We start from the raw sequence: 21,699 nt of genomic DNA, 5'->3' as shown, positions 1-21,699 counted from the left end.
GTGTGTTTTTTTTGTTTCTTTTTGTTTTTGAGACGGAGTCTTGCTCTGTCACCCAGGCTGGAGTCCAGCGGTGCAACCTTGGCTCACTGCAACCTCCGCCTCCTGGGTTCAAGCGATTCTCCTGCCTCAGCCTCATGAGTAGCTGGGATTACAGGCACACACCATCATGCCTGGCTAATTTTTGTATTTTTAGTAGAGACGGCATTTCACCATGTTGGCCAGGATGGTCTCGATCTCTTGACCCCATGATCTGCCCACCTCAGCCTCCCAAAGTGCTGGGATTACAGGCACGAGCCACCATGCCAGGCCTATGCTTGTGATTTTTGCACATTGATTTTGTATCCTGAGACTTTACTAAAGTTGCTTATCAGCTTAAGGAGTTTTTGGGCTGAGATGATGGGGTTTTCTAAATATACAATCATGTCATTTGCAAACAGAGACAATTTGACTTCCTGTCTTCCTATTTGAATACACATTATTCCTTTCTCTTGCCTGATTGCCCTGGCCAGAACTTACAATATGATGTTGAGTAGGAGTGGTGAGAGAGGGCATCCTTGTCTTGTGCCGGTTTTCAAAGGGAAAGCTTCCAGCTATTGTTCATTCAGTATGATATTGGCTATGGGTTTGTCATCAATAGCTCTTATTATTTTGAGGTGTGTTCCATCCATACCTAGTTTTTTAAGAGTTTTTAGCATGAAGGGATGTTGAAGTTTATCAAAGGCCCTTTCTCCATCTATTGAGATAATCATGTGGTTTTTGTCATTGGTTCTGTTTATGTGATGGATTATGTTGGTTGATTTGTGTATGTTGAACCAGCCTTGCATCTCAGGGATGAAGCCCACCTGATCATGGTGGATAAGCTTTTTGATGTGCTGCTGGATTTGGTTTGCCAGTATTTTATTGAGGATTTTCGCATTGATGTTCATCAGGGATATTGGCCTGAAATTTTTTTTTTTATTGTGTCTCTGCCAGGTTTTGGTATCAGGATGATGCTAGCCTCATAAAATGAGTTAGGGAGGAGTCCCTCTTTTGCTATTGTTTGAAATCATTTCAGAAGGAATGGTACTAGCTCCTCTTTGTACCTCTGGTAGAATTCAGCTGTGAATCCATCTGGGCCTGGGCATTTTTTGGTTGGTAGCCTGTTAATTACTGCCTCAGTTTCAGAACTTGCTATTGGTTTATTCAGGGATTCATCTTCTTCCTGGTTTAGTCTTGGGAGGGTGTATGTGTCCAGGAATTTATTCATTTCTTCTAAATTTTCAAGTTTATTTGCATAGAGATGTTTATAGTATTCTCTTATAGTAGTTTGTATTTCTGTGGGATCAGTGGTAATAGCCCCTTTATCATTTTTTATTGTGCCTATTTGATTCTTGTCTCTTTTCTTCTATACTAGTCTAGCTAGTAGTCTATCTATTTTGTTAATCTTTTCAAAAAACCAGTTCCTAGATTAATTGATTATTTGAAGGTTTTTTGTGTCTCTATCTCCTTCAGTTCTGCTCTGGTATTAGTTATTTCTTGTATTCTGTTCGCTTTTGAATTTGTTTGCTCTTGCTTCTCTAGTTCTTTTAATTGTGATTTTAGGGTGTTGATTTTAGATCTTTCCAGCTTTCTGTTGTGGGTATTTAGTGCTATAAATTTACCTCTTAACACTGCTTTAGCTGTGTTAGATTCTGGTCCCAGAGATTCTGATACACTGTGTCTTTGTTCTCATTGGTTTCAAAGAACTTATTTACTTCTGCCTTCATTTCGTTATTTACCCAGTAGTCATTCAGGAGCAGGTTGTTCAATTTCCATGTAGTTGTGAGGTTTTGAATGCGTTTCTTAATCCTGAGTTCTAATTTGATTGTCCTGTGGTCTGAGAGACTGTTTGGTATGATTTTCATTCTTTTGCATTTGCTGAGGAACGTTTTACTTCCAATTATGTGGTCAATTTTAGAATACGTGCTGTGTGGCACTGAGAAGAATTTATATTCTGTTGATTTGGTGTGGAGAGTACTGTAGATGTCCATTAGGTCTGCTTGGTCCAGAGCTGAGTTCAAGTCCTGAATATCCTTATTAATTTTCTGTCTCCTTGATCTGTCTAATATTAACAGAGGGGTGTTAAAGTCTCCCACTATTATTGTGTGGGAGTCTAAGTCTCTTTGTAGATCTCTAAGAACTTGTTTTATGAATCTGGGCACTCGTGTATTGGGTGCTTATATGTTTAGGATAGTTAATTCTTCTTGTTGCATTGATCCCTTTACCATTATGTAATGCCCTTCTTTTTATTTTTTGATCTTTTTTGGTTTAAAGTCTATTTTATCAGAGACTAGGATTGCAACCCCAGCTTTTTTTTTTCTTTTCATTTGTTTGGTAAATATTCCTGCATACCTTTATTTTGAGCCTATATGTGTCTTTGCATGTGAGATAGGTCTCCTGAATACAGCACACTGATAGGTCTTGACTCTTTATCCAGTTAGCCAGTCTATGTCTTTAAATTGGGGCATTTAGCCCATTTAAATTTAAGGTTAATATTGTTATGTGTGAATTTGATCCTGTCATCATGATGCTAGCTGGTTATTTTTCATGTTAGTTGATGCAGTTTCTTCATAGTGTCATTGGTCTTTATATTTTGGTGTGTTTTTACAGTGGCTGGTACCAGTTTTTCCTTTCCATATTTAGTGCTTCCTTCAGGAGCTCTTGTAAGGCAGGCATGGTGGTGATGAAATCCCTCAGCATTTGCTTGTCTGTAAAGGATTTTCTTTCTCATTCGCTTATGAAGCTTACTTTGGCTGGATATGAAATTCTGGGTTGAAAATTCTTTTCTTCAAGAATGTTGAATATTGGCCCGTACTCTCTTCTGGCTTGTAGGATTTTCACAGAGAAATCTGCTGTTAGTCTGATGGGCTTACCTTTGTATTTAACCTGACCTTTCTGTCTGGCTGCCCTTAACATTTTGTCCTTCATTTCAACCTTGGAGAATCTGACGATTATGTGTCTTGGGGTTGCTCTTCTTGAGGAGTATCTTAGCAATGTTCTCTGTATTTCCTCAATTTGAATGTTGGTCTGTCTTGCTAGGTTGGGGAAGTTCTCCTGGGTAATATCCTGAAATGTGTTTTCCAACTTGGTTCCATTCTCCCTGCCACTTTCAGATACACCAACCAATCACAGGTTTGGTCTTTTCATGTAGTGCTATATTTCCTGGAGGGTTTGTTCATTCCTTTTCATTCTTTTTTCTCTAAGCTTGTCTTCATGCCTTAGTTCAGTAAGTTGATCTTCAATCTTTGATATCCTTTCTTCTGTTTGATTGATTCAGCTATTGACACTTGTGTATGCTTCATGAAGTTCTTGTGTTTGTGCTGTGTTTTTCAGCCCCATCTGGCCATTTAAGTTCCTCTCTAAACTGTTTATTCTAGTTAGCAGTTCCTGTAACCTTTTATCAAGGTTCTTAACTTCCTTGCATTGGGTTAGAATATACTCTGTTAGCTCAGAGGAGTTTGTTATTATCCACCTTCTGAAGCCTACTTCTGTCAATTCATCAGTCTGATTCTCCAGCCACTTTTGTGCCCTTGCTGGAGAGGAGTTGTGGAGAAGAGGCATTCTGGTTTTTGGAATTTTTAGTGTTTTTATACTGGTTTTTACTCATCTTCATGGATTTATCTACCTTTGATCTTTGAGGCTGATGAGGTTTGGATGGGGTTTTTGTGTGGGGGTCCTTTATGTTTTTGTTGATGTTGTGGCTTTCTGTTTGTTAGCTTTTCTTCTAACAGTCATGCCCCTCTTCTGCAGGTCTGCTGCAGTTTGCTGGAGGTCCACTTCAGACCCTGTTCACCTGGGTATCACCAGTGGAGGCTGCAAAACAGCAAAGACTGCTGCCTGCTCCTTCCTCTGGAAGCTTCATCCCAGAGGGGCACTGGCCTGATGCCAGCTAGAGCTCTCCTTTATGAGGTCTCTGTTGAACCCTGTTAGGAGATTTCTCTCAGTCAGGAGGCTCAGGGGTCAAGGACTCACTTGAGGAGGCAGTCTGTCCCTTAGCAGAGCTGGTGTGCTGTGCTGGCAGAATCCCTCTTGTCAGGATCAGCTGCTCTCTTCGGAGCCAGCAGGCAGGAACAATTAAATCAGCTGAAGCTGTGCCCACAGCTGCCCCTTCCCCCAGGTGCTCTTTCCCAGGGAGATGGGGGTTTTGTCTGTAAGCCCCTGACTGGGGCTGTTACCTTTCCTTCGGAGATGCCCTGCCCAGTGAGGAGGAATTTAGAGAAGCAGTCTGACCACAGCTATTTTGCCACATCCAGCCCAGACCTTTCAGCCTCCTTAGCAATTTCAGGGGAAAATCTCCTACTAAAGCCTCAGTAATGGGGGTGGATGCCCTTCCCAAGCTCAATCGCCCAGGTCAACTTCATACTGCTGTGCTAGCACTGAGAATTTCAAGCCAGTGGTTCTCAGCTTGCTTAGCTCTGTGGGAGTGAGACCTGCTGAGAGAGACCACTTGGCTCCCGGGCTTCAACCCCCTTTCCAGGGTGAGTGAACGGTTCTGTCTCGCTGGGGTTCCAGGTGCCTCTGGGGTATGAAAAAAAAACTCCTGCAGCTAGCTCAGTGTCTGCCCAAACAGCCACCCAGTTTTGTGCTTGAAACCCAGGGCCCTAGTTGTGCAGGCATAGGAGGAAATCTCCTGATCTGCAGATTGCAAAAACTGTGGGAAAAGCATAGTAACCCAGCTGGGCAGCACAGTTCCTCATGGCTTCCCTTAGCTGTGGGTAGGGAGGAAGGATCCCAGTCCCTTGCACTTCCCAGGCAAAGTGACGCCCCACCCTGCTTCTGCTCACTCTCTGTGGGTTGTACCCACTGCCTAAGCAGTCACAATGAGATGAACTGGGTACCTCAGTTGGAAATGCAGAAATCACCTGCCTTCTGCATTGGTCTCTTGTTGGCAGCTGCAGACTAAAGCTGTTTCTATTTGGCCATCTTGTCCACTCCCTAAAATTTTTTTTTTATAGAGTCTTGCTCTGTTGCCCAGGTTGGAGTGCAGTGGCATGATCTTGGCTCACTGAAACCTCCACCTTCTAGGTTCAAGCAATTCTCATGCTTCAGCCTTCCGAGTAGCTGGGATTACAAGTGTGAACCACCATGCCTGGCTAATTTTTGTGTTTTTAGTAGAGACAGGGTTTCACCAAGTTGCCCAGGCTGGTTTCGAGCTCCTGACCTCAAGTGATCTGCTCACCTTGACCTCCCAAAGTGTTGGGATTAAAGGTGTGAGCCATTGTGCTTAGCCAGGAACCACAATCTTAAGAGCTAATGTTGTAGATCAACTTTATCTCTTCATACATGTGTTTTATTCAGAATACTTTAAACATTTACACAATAACCATAATAGCATAATAGACTGATGCTCAACTTCAATATCTGCTAATTGTGTGTCTTTTTTTTTTTTTTTTGAAACAGAGTCTCACTGTCAACCAGGCTGGAGTGCAATGGCACAATCTTGGCTCACTGTAACCTCCGCCTCCTGGGTTCAAGCAATTCTCCTGTCTCAGCCTCCTGAGTAGCTGGCATTACAGGAGCGTGCCATCATGCCTGGTTAATCTTTGTCTTGTTTTGTTTTGTTTCTTTGAGACAGAGTCTCACTGTCACCCAGGCTGGAGTGCAGTGCCATGATCTCGGCTTACTGCAACCTCCATCTCCCAGGTTCAAGCAATTCTGCTGCCTTAGCCTCCTGAGTAGCTGAGACTATAGGTGCATGCCACCATACCCGGCTAATTTTTTGTATTTTTAGTAGAGACAGGGTTTCACCATGTTAGCCAGGATGGTCTCGATCTCCTGACCTCATGATCTGCCCGCCTCAGCCTCCCAAAGTGCTAGGATTACAGGTGTGAGCCACCACGCCTGGCCTAATTTTTATATTTTTAGTAAAGATAGGATTTCACCATGTTGGTCAGGCTGGTCTAGAACTCCTGACCTCAGGTTATCTGCCTGCCTCGGCCTCCCAAAGTGCTGGGATTACAGGCATGAGCCACTGCACCTGGCCTATGTGTCATTTTTGTTTAATCTCTACTTCAATCTATTCCCCATTTCCACTTTTTTCTCAGTTTTTGTGTGTGTGTGTGTGAGATAGGATGTATAGGCACTGAAACGTACCATCTTAGTTATACCTTTTAGACAAACCAGTACACCCATATAATTATTTCCCCTTTTAAGAATAGAATTACTCCAACATAACAACCATTAATGTGCATGTGAATCACCTGGAAATACATAAAATCCAGGTTTTGATACAACATACCTGTATCTTGTCTGAAATTTTGTATTTCTAACAAACTACAGACCAACAGAGTACATGGTAACTGCAAAGGTTTCTTTTATCTAAAGTGTATAAAATTTGATAATTAAAATTATGAAAAATTGACCTCAGGTAAAAGAACAAATTAAAACAGGTGTGCAATATGGTATCTGTAAGAGCATTTGGTTAACAATGACTCACATTCATAGTTGGCCTTTGCAGAATTACCCAAAACTCAGTCATTTACACACCAAGTGTACATAATTTTCATAGCTTCTCATTAAAATTAGATTGTAATGCCTTTATAAAAATCTGACTGAATTTTCTTATAAAATTAAGTAGCAACATTTTTATATAACATTATAAATTCTATTTATGTTAAACATAAACTTACATAATTTTATTAGGCAGTGTCTGTGTGTCTACCACCCAATATTATTTTGGGTTCCAGCATTTGCACAGGCACCTCAGCTAAGGAGCACAGATTAACCAGAACCAAGATGTTCCCTGCATCTTCTTGTTTCTCAGGGTATCCGTTTATCAGTCAACCAAGTTACGTAAGAATGGAGGTCATGTATTCCCTAGCATAGAGGGTCTCATGGGCACTCTCCTTAGAGGAGGAAGAGACTGGGAGATCCAGTTAGGGGGTACTTCCTTGGACATGGGCTAAGCCCCCTAAGAGGTAAGGGCTCTGATCAGCAGGTGCAAACTTCTCAGGAGGGAAAATGATGCCGCCATTCTGAACCTGGAGCTCCACCAGCCCTTGTCCCATCTCAAGACAATTCTGAGAGTTTACTCTAGAACATGTCTGGATTGTGGAGGTTGGGAAACAATATGGGCTTTGATGGAACTGAGGTAAGGTCTCCCATGGGGAGGGAGGAGATCGATGCTCAGCATTCTTGGTGACCTGTGGACAAAGGGTTGCCTCTTTAGGTCCAAGTTCATTTTCACTGCAGAGGAGGCTTGAGTGTCTGAATGGTTCCCAGATCCCATCTATGATTCTTTTGGAGAGTGGGGTCTGGAAAGTACTGAGTCTCAGCATTTTTGGAAAATTCTGAAAAGTTCATTTGGGAGTCTGGGAAGGCCTCTTGCCTCATTCCTGAATGCTAGATTTGCTGTCCTGGCCACATATATGCTCGACAGCAAGCAATCTGAGTTTGCATTTATACCAAGACAACCATAAGACAAGTTGTAGTGGCCAGGACAGGTGTCTTGGTGGCACACTAGGGTACATTATGAGAGCAAACTTCAAGCCTGTTGATAGTCAGCTTGGCAAAGAGGGTTGAGTCCTGGCCCAAGTGGTTAGGTAAAGCATGGGGCCAATTAATAAATCCACCTTCAGTTCTTCAGCTGTTCATGAATTAAGAGAGAAACCAGTTCATGACTTGATAAGAGGCCCTGCTAGGCGGATGGATGACACTCTGGGTTTATTGACTTCTTGCTAACTCATGACAGCAGATTCAGAACAAATCTATTCTCAGGATTTGTGGATAGGCACTACCCTGCTAGAATGATGTGGGAGATATGGTGTTCAAATAAAAGGTGTTAGCCACCCCTAAAAATTAAGAGCAAAATTACAAACTTAATTACAAAAAGACACGGGACCTATAATAACATTTCACAGTAAAAGAAGTAAAAATTGTCATTGTCTACATAAAGAGGCATCCAACTTTAATGGTGGTTAAAAAATAATTACAAAATATATGAGTTTGTGTGACCATCAGTTTGGAAATTTAAATGTTCCTTAATACGGTCTCTATGTTATCAGAGGAAACCTGCTGTTTTGTGCATGCTTGTAAGGAGTATAAATGGCCAATTACCTTTTGAAAGATAATTTTAAAATATGTATCAAGCGTGGAAAGACACATGATCTTACATAAAGGATTCTACCTCCTGGAAGGCATCTCATAAAACACTTGAACATCTGTGCAGAAATCCCCATACCTAGCATGTTCTTGGTGGGCATGTACATAATAGCAAAGAGAAAAAGAAAACAGAAGCAGAAGAATCCAAAAAAGCAGCAGCAGCAGGAGAAGGAGAAGAGGAGGAGGAGGAGGAGGAGGAGAAAAAGGAGGAGGAGGAGGAGAAGGAGGAGGAGGAGGAGAAAAAGGAGGAGGAGAAGGAGAAGAAGAAGGAGAAGAAGAAGAAGAAGAGGAAGAAGAAGAAGAGGAAGAAGAGTAAAAAGGAAGGTACACATACATGAAAAATATTTTTTACCATCCTGATTTCTTTTTTTTTTTTTTGGAGACAGAGTCTCTCTCTGTTACCCAGGCTGGAGTGCAGTGGTGCAATCCTGGCTCACTGCAACCTCTGCCTCCTGGGTTCAAGCAATTATCCTGCCTCAGGCTCCTGAGTAGTGGGCACTACAGGCACACACCACCAAGCCAGGCTAATTTTTGTATTTTCAGTACAGATGGAGTTTCACCATGTTGGTGAGGCTGGGCTCGAACTCCTGACCTCAGGTGATCCACCCGCCTCGGCCTCCCAAAGTGCTGGGATTACAGGCGTGAGCCATCGCACCTGGCCGAACATCCTGATTTTTAAGATGATCATCACTCATTCATAAAGGGCACAGGAGTAAAACAAGTCAGGGGATCCTCAAAGAGCAACTAAGCAGGAAACAAAGGGAAAAAAACACCTCAGAGCCACCAGATTCTCTCATTACTTTTCAGTTTTGCTGATGCTTCAGTTCATATCTGCTGCACAAATTCTGCAGTAGAATCTTCCTTCCAAGATTTTCTTGCTTGCTGAGTAAACTATGTTAAGTGTTTGTATGTGTCTCAACTTTCTGTCACCACCCAGGGAAGGAACAGCAGGGGCACTGTCCTCGCTCATATTTTGCTGTGAGGAAAGCAATGAAGGTCTTCTGAACTTTGTGAAGGTATCTTCTGCCTTCATGTCAAATCCAGCCCCCAACTCCAAGCATCCTTGCATGGTTTCTTCATGTCCAATCAAGATGGGCTTTCATTTGTAATCTACTGCAATTGTGCCTGCCACATGCAGTTTCAAGGTATCCTCATACACCTGCTCACAATGATCCTCCAGGAATAGAATGAGCTCCTGAGAGAGGAACTCAGGAGTATGCTGGGCTCTTCATGTATTTTTTTTTTTTGAAACAGAGTCTCGCTCTGTCACCAGGTTGGAGTGTAGTGGCACGATCTCAGCTCACTGCAACCTCCACCTCCCAGGTTCAAGCGATTCTCCTGCCTCAGCCTCCTGAGCAGCTGGAACTATAGGCACGCCTGGCTAATTTTTTTTTTTGTATTTTTCAGTAGAGATGGGGTTTCACCGTGTTAGTCAGGATGGTCTCGATTTCCTGACATCATGATCTGCCCCCCTCGGCCTCCCAAAGTGCTGGGATTACAGGCGTGAGCCACCGCACCCAGACTCTTCATGTATTTCTATTATGTTTCTCTCTCCACTCTTAAAGAGGGCTGTGGACACAGAGTAAAGAAGGAGACACTAAAATTCCAAAGTCTGGGTACGGTTTCAACCCTGCAGGTATCTGATCTTTGCCTTCATTCCTCCTGTTAGTCTTAGTAAAGAGTCCTGGAGTCTGCAGTTCCCAAGCCTTCCTTGGTTTCAGGTTCTGCTTGTCCTTATTTGGTTCAGGGGCTGTGGGACAGGACCACATTAGAGCACTTCACTGGGTACCTCCTGGTCCTGGCCATGTGCCCTAAGACCTGGTGGTTCTTGCACTTTCTCTGTGGATTGAGGAGAAAGGAGGTCAGTGAGTCAGTATCATCACAGGCAGCTTTCAAAGGTTAATGTTGCAACAGTTTTTTGGATCTGTTTATTATTTTTAGGACTAGACCCAGACAAGTACCATACTGGGTTTCTAAAGATTCATGATGTAGGCTACGTGTGGTGGCTCATGCCTGTAATCCCAGTGCTTTGGGAGGCCAAGGCGGGCGGATCATGAGGTCAGAAGTTTGAGACCAGCCTGGCCAACATGGCGAAACCCCATCTATACTAAAAATACAAAAAATTAGCTGGGTGTGGTGGCAGGCGCCTGTAATCCCAGCTACTCAGGAGGCTGAGGCAAGAGAATCGCTTGAACCTGGGAGGTGGAGGTTCCAGTGAGTTCAGACCACGCCACTGCACTCCAGTCTGGCTAACAGAGCTAGACACCATCTCAAAAAAAAAAAAAAGTTTCATGATGTAATAGTTATATCCACAACCTATTTTAAACAAAGAAACAAGAACAAAGAACCAAAATGTGTTAGGGTTGTGATAATAATCTAGCCAAATTTGTCAGCTCAGATAGTGAATGCTGAGCAAATTCTACAGAAGACAATGTAGCACCCAGGATGACTGAGGGAGGGTGAGGTAGAGGAGAAGCTTGCTTCTCCAGCTGGGCTCTTTGCTGCCTTAGGAATCAGTGGTTGATTGAGTTAGCACTGGCTCCTATCTGATCAATTCAATGTGATCACATTTGATTTAAGTATCTCTTCAACATTCAAGAGACAAAGGCATATTCTATTTGGAGTTTGGTTGTTCTGCATTTTATTTTATTGTATATTTATCAAATGCAATCAACTATAATTTGATATGTCATTTCCAAGCATTTGAAAAATTGTGACATATAGGTATACAATTTTAATGGTATATGTAATTTTCTTTTTTCTTTTTTTTTCTTTTTTTTTTTTTTTTTTTGAGACAGAGTCTCACTCTGTCACCCAGGCTGGAGTGCAATGGTGCAATCTTGGCTCACTGCAACCTCTGCCTCCTGGGTTCAACCGATTCTCTCACCTCTGCCTCCCGAGTAGCTGGGATTACAGGCACATGTCACCCACATCCAGCTCATTTTTGTATTTTTAGTAAAGCCGGGGTTTCACTACGTTGGCCAGGCTGGCCTTGAACTTCTGGCCTCAAGTGATCCGCCCGCCTCAACCTCATAAAGTGCTGAGATTACAGGTGTGAGCCACCGTGCCTGGCCTTTATGTAATTTTCTTTATGTGTACAATTTAAATATACCTGTTAATATATGGTCTGTTTAATTTAGCATTTTAAAATCTGGCCAAGGTTTTTAATAGTTCTGGGTGAAAAGAGGGCTAGAAATCAAAAGGGGATGAGTCTCTTGACTTTCAATTTTCATGCCTACTGGTTTTTTTTTTTTCTTTTGAGGCAGAGTTTCACTCTTGTCACCCAGGCTTCAGTGCAATGGCATGATCTCGGCTCACTGCAACCTCCACCTCCTGGGTTCATGCGATTCTCCTGCCTCAGCCTCCAAAGTAGCTGAGATTACAGTCACTCGCCACCACACCTGGCTAATTTTTGTATGTTTAGTAGAGATGGGGTTTCGCCATGTTGGCCAGGCTGGTCTCGAACTCCTGACCTCAGGTGATCCACCCACCTTGGCCTCCCTAAGTGCTTTGGTTACAGGTGTGAGCCACCTCACCTGGCTGGTTTTGTTATTTTGGTTTTTGATGCTATGACAGGACCCTGAAAAAATCTCCCCTTATGTGTGTCTAAGGTACCCAGTAAATCACAACCTGAAACATTCCTTATGAAGGCCATAATGTCTCCAGGAAATAAATTTCTTGTCATAAGAGTGAGCCGTACCCAGCTGAGGGGCTTATAAAAGGCAAGTCCAGCATAACACCCTGCATTCTGAGTCTGGATGTGTAAGAGAGAGGACATTTCATTTGAGTTTCAACATGGAATGGGAAACTGAAGACCAAGATCTTCTCTACCTCTTCATCCAAGGCCCCACTTGCCAGCTCCATTTTCAACAAATCTTTTTTACAGATAGAAGCTTAGATGAGGAGGAGAAACTATTTGAAAAAAGACAAGGTGCTCTCTTCCCATTCCAGTAGGTAATGCACTCAAATGCCAGATAAGGCCTTGGGCTGTTCATATTAAGATCAGAAAGAGTGGTGGAATGAGGGATAGTAAGCTGTGTGTCTTTGGTAGGGTTTTATTTTGAGCTAGGGAATGAGAAATGGCTTATATCCCTGAGATGGCTTTGAGAATTGTAGTAATGATCCCTTGGAACCGTATTCTTCTCATTAACTCTTGATGCTTGCTGAACAGCCTTAGTTAAGAAAATGAACAACAAATGTAAGTCAGGAATAGACTATGGGACTCTGGATCTAGAGAGATTTGAGTCACCTAAACTTCCTTTCTGACTAGGACCAGACCACAATCCAAATAAGAAAGAGAATTACAGAAAACTAAGCTCAAAACCAGAAACAGCACCGCTAGATCAGGTAGGATTTGAATCAAGGTGAGAAGAGATAGGATATAGATGAACACAGTCTCCCCTGGAAAAACATTGAGAGCTTTTTTAAATGCAGAGTTTTACAGATCCTGGACTCTGGAGAACAGAGAACTGAGTTTTGGTGACAATCTTGGCTTCAGTGCATCCACAATGGACTAGGGCTTCTAAGGTGTTCAGTTCGAAGCACTCACCTGCACTTTGTTTTTTTGTTTGTTTTGTTTGTTTTTGTTTTTGTTTTTTTTGGAGACAGGGTCTCACTCTTTCACTGAGGCTGGAGTGCGGAGGCATGATCTCGCCTCACTGCAACCTCTGCCTCCCGGGTTCAAGTGAGTCTCCTGCCTCAGCCTCCTGAGTTGCTGGGATTAAAGGCATGTGCCACCAGGCCTGGCTAATTTTTGTATTTTTAGTAGAGACAGGGTTTCCCTATGTTGGCCAGGCTGGTCTCGAACTCTTGATCTCGTGATCCACCCACCTTGGCCTCCTAAAGTGCTGGGATTACAGGCGTGAGTCACTGCACCTGGCTGCTTTCTTTTATTTTACATGTTTCAATCGATTTTATTTTATTGTAGAAAATTTTAAATTTGATATATGTTTTGGGTTTTTTTTAACCATATTCTTGTTTTATTTTTCTGGTAAAATACATATTTTTATTGTAATAAAATGAGAAATGTAAAGATTTCTTTTGGCTGTAATGTAAGAGTTAAGGGAAGTAGAAGCAGGAGAGTGATAGAATTTTTATTCACTTTTAATGACAAAATATTAATAATAGTTCTCGTCAGAACAATCAGTCAAGAACAAGAAATAAAAGGCATCCAAATTACGGGAAAAAAAGTCAAACTATCTCTTTCTATGGATTATCTAATTTGATACCTAAAAACACCTAATAACTTTACTAAAGAGCTCCTGGAACTTATCAGCAAGTTCAGTAGTGTTTCAGAATACCAAGTCAATACGCAAAAGTCATTTTTATTCACCAATATTATTGAAGCTGAGGGCCAAATCAAGAACTCAATCCCATTTAACTTGCCACAAAAAAATACCTAAGAATGCATATAACCCAGGAGGTGAACAATTATCACAAAGAGAACTACAAAATACTGCTAAGAGAAATCATAGATGACATAAACAAATGGAAGTACATTATATTCACATGGATTAAAAGAATCAATATTAAAATGACCCCATTGGCCAAATTAATCTACAGATTCAATGCTATCTCTATCAAACTGCCAATAAAACTTTTCAGAGAATTAAAAAAAAAACTATTCTAAAATTTATATAAAACAATAAAGAGCATAAATACCCAAAACAATCTTAAGCAAAAAGAGCAAAGCCAGAGACAGCACTCTACCCAAATTTAAACTATACTATATGGCTACAGGAACCAAAGAAGCATATTACTGGTATAAAAGCAGACAGAGACCAGTGGAACAGAATACAAAACTCAGAAATAAAGCTACACACCTACAGCCATATAATTTTTGACAACATTGACAAAAATAAGCAATGGAAATAAGACTGTCTATTTAATAAATGGTGCTGGGATAACCAGCTAACCGTATGCGGAAAAAAATACTAGATAATACTGAACCCCTACAATTTGCCATATACAAAAATTAACACAAGATGAATTAAGGATTTAAATTTAAGACATCAAACTATAAAAATCCTACAAAAAAACCTACTAAATATCTTTTTTGACATTGGCCTTGGCAAAGAATTTTTGACTAAGTCTCCAAAAGTAAGCAAGAAAAACAAAAAGTGACAATTTCCCAACTTCCTAACTATTCTAAAGAGCTTCTGCACAGCAAAAGAAACTATCAACAGAGTAAACAGACAACCTACAGAATGAGAGTAAATGTTTGCAAACTATGCATTTGACAAGTCTAATTTCCAGAACCTATAAAAAAATTAATTAAAGAAGAATAAATAACCCCACAAAGATGAGCAAAAGACATAAACTGATACTTCTCAAAAGAAAACTTACAAGAAGCCAACAAACATAAAAATATGCTCCATATTCCTAAACATAATTTTGCTTTCAATGAATAGTTTTAGATCCCTGCTGTCTAGAAAATTTGGGGAATTTGTTAGTATAAAAAAAGAATTTTTTTGGCTGGGCGCGGTGGTGCATGCTTGTAATCCCAGCACTTTGGGAGGCCGTGGCAGGTGGTTCACCTGACGTCAGGAGTTTGAGACCAGCCTGACCAACATGGTGAAACCCCATCTCTACTAAAAATACAAAATTAGCGAGGCGTGGTGGGACATGCCTATAATCCCAGCTACTCAGGAGGCTAAGACAGGAGAATCGCTTGAACCTGGGAGGCAGAGGTTGCAGTGAGCCAAAATCATGGCACTGCACTTCAATCTGGGCAACAAGAGCAAAACTGTCTCAAAAAAAAAAAAAAAAGTAGTGCAGTGGTCTTGGCTGGTCTTGAACCCTTGACCTCATGATCTACCCACCTTGGCCTCCCAAAGTGCTGGGATTACAGGCATGAGCCACCGTGCCCCGCCCAATATGTTTTATTTTGAGATTAACCTTTTTTTCTTGAATGATTGACATTCTTCACTCTAGTTTAGTGGTAATTATAGAAATTTAGTAGCATAAAATGTTGCTCATATTTTAAAATCCAATTTTCACCACCAGCTTTTGATTCAGTAGTACTACTGGGTAGTGAGCTAAGGACCCACAAATTTAAAATACTTTCTAAATATTCTAAAGATTCTGTCGAAGAAAAGGTATTTTGATATTAACTTTACATTATCTGTAATATTCTTTTTCTTTAGTAAGCACAGTACTAAGTACTAGTCTGGTAATTGGAGAATCCAGCAAAACTCATGTTTCCTTTTTCTAATAAGACAGATCTTGCTGTGTCTAATCTGGGCCTGATCAACTCTCTGAAGCAAAGGAAAGAATCTTGGAATTTAGAAAGACAAGAGACCATAGCCAGCACCTAGGTAGGCGGGAGTGAAAGAAGATGACACAGCTGAGGTCCAAAGGTGAAGAAGAAAGCCAGACCATAAAATGTGGTTTAGGAAGGTCTGCTGCAATAGAAATAGTTTCTAAAATGCCTGATTTCTTTTCTCATACCCAAACAGTGGGGCAGCTTCTGTCCCATGGTCTTAAATCCCCCAAGAATTCTACTTTAATTTAATCTTCCTTCAAGCTTATACTTAGAGCTGAAGTCCATCTTATGGTTTATAAGAGGTTGAATAATCTGACAGGTCTTCCATTGCTATTGGGGGACATGAGACTATTTGTCTTTTAGAGAAACTCTGTATGAAACTATTTTAAATCCTTTCTACATCATTGCTGAAATGTGTGAAAGCAGTAGTGATATTGAAATTTGGTTTCAAAATCGCAAGAACACCAGATAAAGATGTGAGTTTTCTACTTTATGACTTTCTATTCTGTGATGGTTTCAGATGTGTTTCTAGAGATATTTGTACTCAGTAACTTTATCAGAACACTAAGTACCTCTGTAAATGTAAGAAAATCTATTTTTTTTTTTTAATTTTCAGGTTTTTTTTTGTTTTGTTTTGTTTTTGAGATGGAGTTTAGCTCTTGTTGCCCAGCCTGGAGTGCAATGGCATGATCTTGGCTCACTACAACCCCTGCCTCCCGGGTTCAAGCGATTCTCCTGCCTCAGCCTCCCAAGTAGCTGGCATTATAGGCACCTGCCACCACGCCCAGCTAAGTTTGTATTTTTAGTAGAGATGAGGTTTCACCATGATGGTCAGGCTGTTCTTGAACTCCTGACCTTAGGTGATCAATCCACCTCGACCTCCCTAAGTGCTGGGATTACAGGCGTGAGCCACTGCACCTGGCCCCGATTTTCAGTTTTTTTAATATAAATTGAGATAGGTAATTTAAACACTACATGACCAAATTTCTTATGGTAATGTAGCTTAATGTATTTATTGCATATATAATATATGTACATATATTATATATATGTACACATGTATATATTATATATACATATATTATATATGTACACATGTATATATTGTATATATGTACACATGTATATATTATATATGTACACATGTATATATTATATATATGTACACATGTATATATTATATATGTGTATATATATATATTTTAAAAGGAGTATCACTCTGTTGCCAGGCTGGAGTGCAGTGGCATGATCTCGGCTCACTGCAACCTCCCAGGTTCGAGTGATTCACCTGCCTCAGCCTTCTGAGTAGCTGGGATTACAGGCACATACCACCACACCCAGCTTATTTTTGTATTTCTAATAGAGACGTGGTTTCACCATGTTGGCCAGGATGGTCTCGATCTCTTGACCTTGTGATCTGCCTGCCTTGGGCTCCCAAAATGCTGGGATTACAGGCATGAGCCACCGCACCCAGGCTACCGTGTATATTTTTACAATATACTGTGTCATTGGGAAGCTTAGAAAATTGCTGAAGGCCAGGTGCCATGGCTCATGTCTGTAATCCCAGCACTTTGGGAGGCTAGGGTGAAAAAAACACTTGAGCCCACGAGATTGAGACCAGCCTGGGTAACACAGCAAGACTTTGTTTCTATAAAGAATTACCAAAAAATTAATTTATTTGTATGTACATTTAAAAGGAGGAGATTGATTTTTCTTCTGGAGAGTTATAATTACATTCAAAGCATACTTTTTGCATTAAAAAATTAAAATTCTTGAAAAGCAAACATTGATGCAATTCAACTCTTTTTTATTTTTTTGAGACAGAGCCTCACTCTGTCACCCAGGCTGGAGTGCAGTGGCACGATCTTGGCTCACTGCAACCTCTGCAGCCCAGCTTCAGGCGATTCACCTGCCTCAGCTTCTCAAGTAGCTGGGATTAAAGGCACCTTCCACTGCGCCTGGCTAATTTTTGCAGTTTTTAGTAGAGATGGGGTTTCACCATCTTGGCAAGGCTGGTCTTGAACTCCTGACCTCATGATCCACCTGCCTCAGCCTCCCAAAATACTGGGATTACAGGCGTGAGCCACCATGCCCGGCTGCAATTCAACTCTTAGATCACTTGTTATGCCTTCATTCTTAGTGTGTATACAAAAGCACATGGTTAGTTTTTGCTTCATCAGACCTATAAGAGGCACATCTCTATTAGACAAGCATCATTCACATAGTTTTTCATAGACACTGAAATGTAAGACATATCAAGAGATTCTAAGTGGGGAAGTGCTTTGTGGTTGATTAACAACAGCATGTGATACATGGGGTAGGTTTTTAGAGTAAGATTCCATGCATTATAGTAAGGGAGAAACATTTTAGATCTTCAATTCAAGTTGTTTTTCCAATTGCTTATTAAAATAATAAGATACAGTGGATTTAAAAAAAAATTTAGATTCTGTGTGAACTTAATTTGTTTTAATTAAGCATAATTGTTTTTGTTTCTACTATTGTGCATTGAACAAAGTATTATTTTTTTACCAGTGTTAACCTATCCAACCTAACTGAAGCTTGTAGGTAACAGATGATAACAATACACTATTGGTTAACATAGTTGAATAACATTTTTAGGGATCCCTTTTTTCAATAACTTTAAACATCAAACAGTTTAAAGAATATTGTTTCTATTGGTAATATTTTTATTCTTTTTGTAACTACAGGGCCATTATAATGGTAATAATGAAGATTATATAAAAGTACAATTTAAAGCCATGTATTTCTGAATATTGAATGAGTATTTACAAAATTTTATTCCACTTTTTTTTTTGCACATGTCACCTTTCTGACTTGCAAAATATATGCAGACTGATAGTCTTGTTTTACAAGGATAAAATATACAAATATATTCCTCTAAGGATAAATCTTAGAAGTAAAGGAGTTACGGAGTAAGTAATTGTGTTTGTGTGAGTTTGGGTGTATACCTATTTTGCAAAGAAAAGAAAAATATTGAAATAAAACATAATTTCCAAAGTGTTGATAATTTACTAAAAAGGCAAAAATGTCAAAAATTCTGAAAGCGAGTCTATTTTCTTTGCTTTATGTCGAGCTCACTTCTCTGAGATTTTATTGGTCCTCCATAGGATTCTCCCCATGCAAATCCCCCCGCCTTTTTTTTTTTTTTGAGATGGAGTCTCACCGTGTCACCAGGCCGGAGTGCAGTGGCATGATCTTGGCTCACCGCAGTCTCTGCCTCCCGGCTTCAAGTGATTCTCCTGCCTCAAGCTCCACAATAGCTGGGACTACAGGCGAGCGCCGCCATGCCCAGCTACGTTTTGTGTTTTTAGTAGAGACAGGGTTTCACAATGTTGGCCAGGATGGTCTCGATCTCTTGACTTCATGATCCGCCCACCTTAGCCTCCCAAAGTGCTGGGATTATAGGCGTGAGCCACCGCGCCCGGCCAATTGCTTTTTTTTCTTTAATATTAAAGGGAGTCTGGAGAAATAACTACAACAATCCCAGAACTGGCAAAGGGGCAAATGCTGGAAAACTCCAGGGTGGGAGAATGCCCATCACAGGGCCAAAGATCTGAGCAGATGACTCAAAAAAGAGAAAATCTTAATAGGTCTTAAACAACTGAAAGGTGACTCAAACGTGTCAGTTTAAAAACTGAAAGTGAAAGGGACAATGAGATTTTATTTGCCATATAGACACAAACTGACAACAAAAATTAAAAGAATGTAATATGCAGGAGAGCTTAGATACAGAGCAGCAGGTGCATCAGAGAATGCCAGCGCCGATGGACCTGCTACAGCCCTTTTGGAAAGTCATCTGGCTGTAACTGTGAACAGTTTACATAGACATCATTTAACCCAGTAATATATTTTCTGAGGATCTATCTTCAGATAATTAGTAAATGTTATGGGATAATTTGTTATTTTCTCAATTCCCAGGATAAATACTTTGTATCCTTCAATCCAATCAAGTTGACATTCAGTATTAACCATCACACCTGTGGACTCCATCCATGGATGAGTGTCACAATTCCAACTGTCAACTTTTCTGGGTGTGAGATTCAGAACCTCAACAGTGGGTTGTGTGCATGTGTGAGGCTGATAATTCTAACATTTGGTTGAGTATGCATACAAGAATCACAATTTTTCCTGTGTGCTGGGTTCTTTTATGACACTCTATGTACCAACCAAGTGCTTTATACAGCATGCATGAGAGCTGCAATCTTCCCTGAGACCTGCATGATGGTATAGACACATGATCTTACCTGTGGCCTTAAGCCCAACAGAAGAGTCAAAATGTTTCTTTTTTTTTTTTCTTTTTCAAGACAGAGTCTCGCTTTATTACCCAGGCTGGAGTGCGATGGTGCGATTTCAGGTCACTGCAAACTCCGCCTTCCGGGTTCAAGAGATTCTTATGCCTCAGTCTCCCAAGTAACAGGGACTACAGGTGTGTGCCACCACGCCTGGCTAATTTTTGTATTTTTAGTAGAGATAGGGTTTCATCATATTGGCCAGGCTTGTCTCAAACTCATGACCTCGTAATCAGCCCACCTCATCCTCCCAAAGTGTTGGGATTACAGGCATGAGCCACCGCACCTGGCCAAAAATGTTTCTTATTGGCTGGGTCCAGGTATGAGACTCATGATCATGCCTGTGGGCTTGGTCCAAAAATGAATGACCATCCCACCTGTGTCAAGATTCACATAGAAGAGTCACAATTCCAACTGTCCAGTATGTTTGGCTATAAAATTGGGGACCTCACTAGTGAGCTGTGTCCATGTGTAAGAGTAACAATCCTAACTTTCAACTGGGAGTGCATGAGAGCCACAGTCTCACTTGCGTGATGGGCACTGTTATGACACTCTACCACCTGAGAGTTTTACGTGATATGCTTGAGAGTCACAAACCTCTCTGTGACTTTTGTACAAGTATGAGATCCATGACCTTACCTATTTCCTTAAGGCTAGCTATGAGAGTCAGAATGTCTCCTCTTCACTGGGTCCAGGTATGAGAGTCATCATTGCCTGTGAGCTGGGTCCAGCTAAATCTTACAATTCCCCCTGTGAGCCTGGCTCAGGCAGAAGAGCTACATCACCTGAAGGCTGGGCCCATGTATATATCGCAATCTCTCTTATGGTCGAGGCCCAGCAGAAGAGTCACATCACCTAGGTGTGGGGCCCAGGTATATTAAAGTCCCCTGTTTGGCAGGTCCCAAGCAAGAGAGCCACATCACCTAGGTACTGGGCCCAGGTATGTGTCACAATCCCTCCTGTTGCTTGGGCTCATGTTGGAGATTCACATCACCTAGGTTCTGGAATTAGCTCTACATCACAATCCCACCTATGGCCTCAGCCCAGGCAGAAGAGTTACATAGCCTAGGTACCAGGTATGTGTCACAATCCCCACTATGGGCAGGTCCCAGGTAAGAGAGACACATTGTCTAGGTGCTTAGCCCTGGTATATTGTCACAATCTCTTTTGTTGGCTTGGCCCAGGTTAGATGTACACCTCACATAGGTGTTGAGCCCAGGTATGTGTCACAATACTCCCTGTGGGGTGGGCTCAGGCTAAAGAGTCACATCATCTAAGTGCTGGGCCCAGGTATATGTCACAATGCCCCTTGTGACTTTGGCCAGGCATGAGAGTCAGAACACATAGGTGCTTGGTTCAACTATATGTCACTATCCCATTTGTGGCCTTGACCTAGGTGAGAGAGTCGCATGACCTATGGTCTGGGCCCAGGTATATGTCACAATGTTCTCTGTGGATTGGGCCCATGCAGGACAGCCACATCACCTTAATTCCTGAGCCCAGGTATATGTCAGTCCCCCTGAGAACTTGACCTAAAAAAGGCTCAAATCACCTCAGTACTCGGCCCAGTATTATGTAATCCCACTTGTGGCTTTAGCCTAGGCAGCGGAGTCACATATCTTAGGTGCTGTGGTAAGAAATCTGTCAAAATCTTTTCTTGTGTTCTAGGTCCAGGCAAAGTGTAACATCACCTAGGTGCTGGACCCAGGTACATGCCACAATCTACCCTCTGGGTGGGACCCAGGAGGAAGAGCAACACAACTCAGAAGATGGGTTCAGGTATATGTCACAATTACCTGGAGGCAGGGCCCAGGCAGGAAAGTCACATTACCTAGGTGCTGGAAGCAGGTGTGTTACAATCCTCCCTTTGGACAGGGACCAGGAAGGAGAGCTACATCACCTAGGTGATGGAAACAGGTGTAGGCCCCAATTTCAAATGTGGGCAGGGATCAAGCAGAAAAGTCACATCCACAGGTGTGTCACAATACTCTCTTTGGGTAAAATCCA

General features: G+C 41.5%; 1 long non-coding RNA gene across 1 annotated transcript; it reads right to left on the bottom strand.

Moving 5' to 3' along the window:
* Window positions 1-8,905: 8,905 nt before the first annotated feature.
* LOC112268247 (uncharacterized) lies at window positions 8,906-20,691 on the bottom strand. The gene is made up of 2 exons (XR_002958424.1): window positions 20,332-20,691; window positions 8,906-9,957 (listed from the first exon to the last, which is right to left on the bottom strand). It is a non-coding gene; the product is annotated as an uncharacterized LOC112268247 (long non-coding RNA).
* Between the last annotated feature and the right edge of the window lie 1,008 nt (window positions 20,692-21,699).

This window comes from Homo sapiens, chromosome 19 (genome assembly GCF_000001405.40).
Source record: "Homo sapiens chromosome 19, GRCh38.p14 Primary Assembly".
NCBI lineage: Eukaryota > Metazoa > Chordata > Mammalia > Primates > Hominidae > Homo > Homo sapiens.
This window is presented reverse-complemented; position numbering and strand designations above follow the sequence as displayed.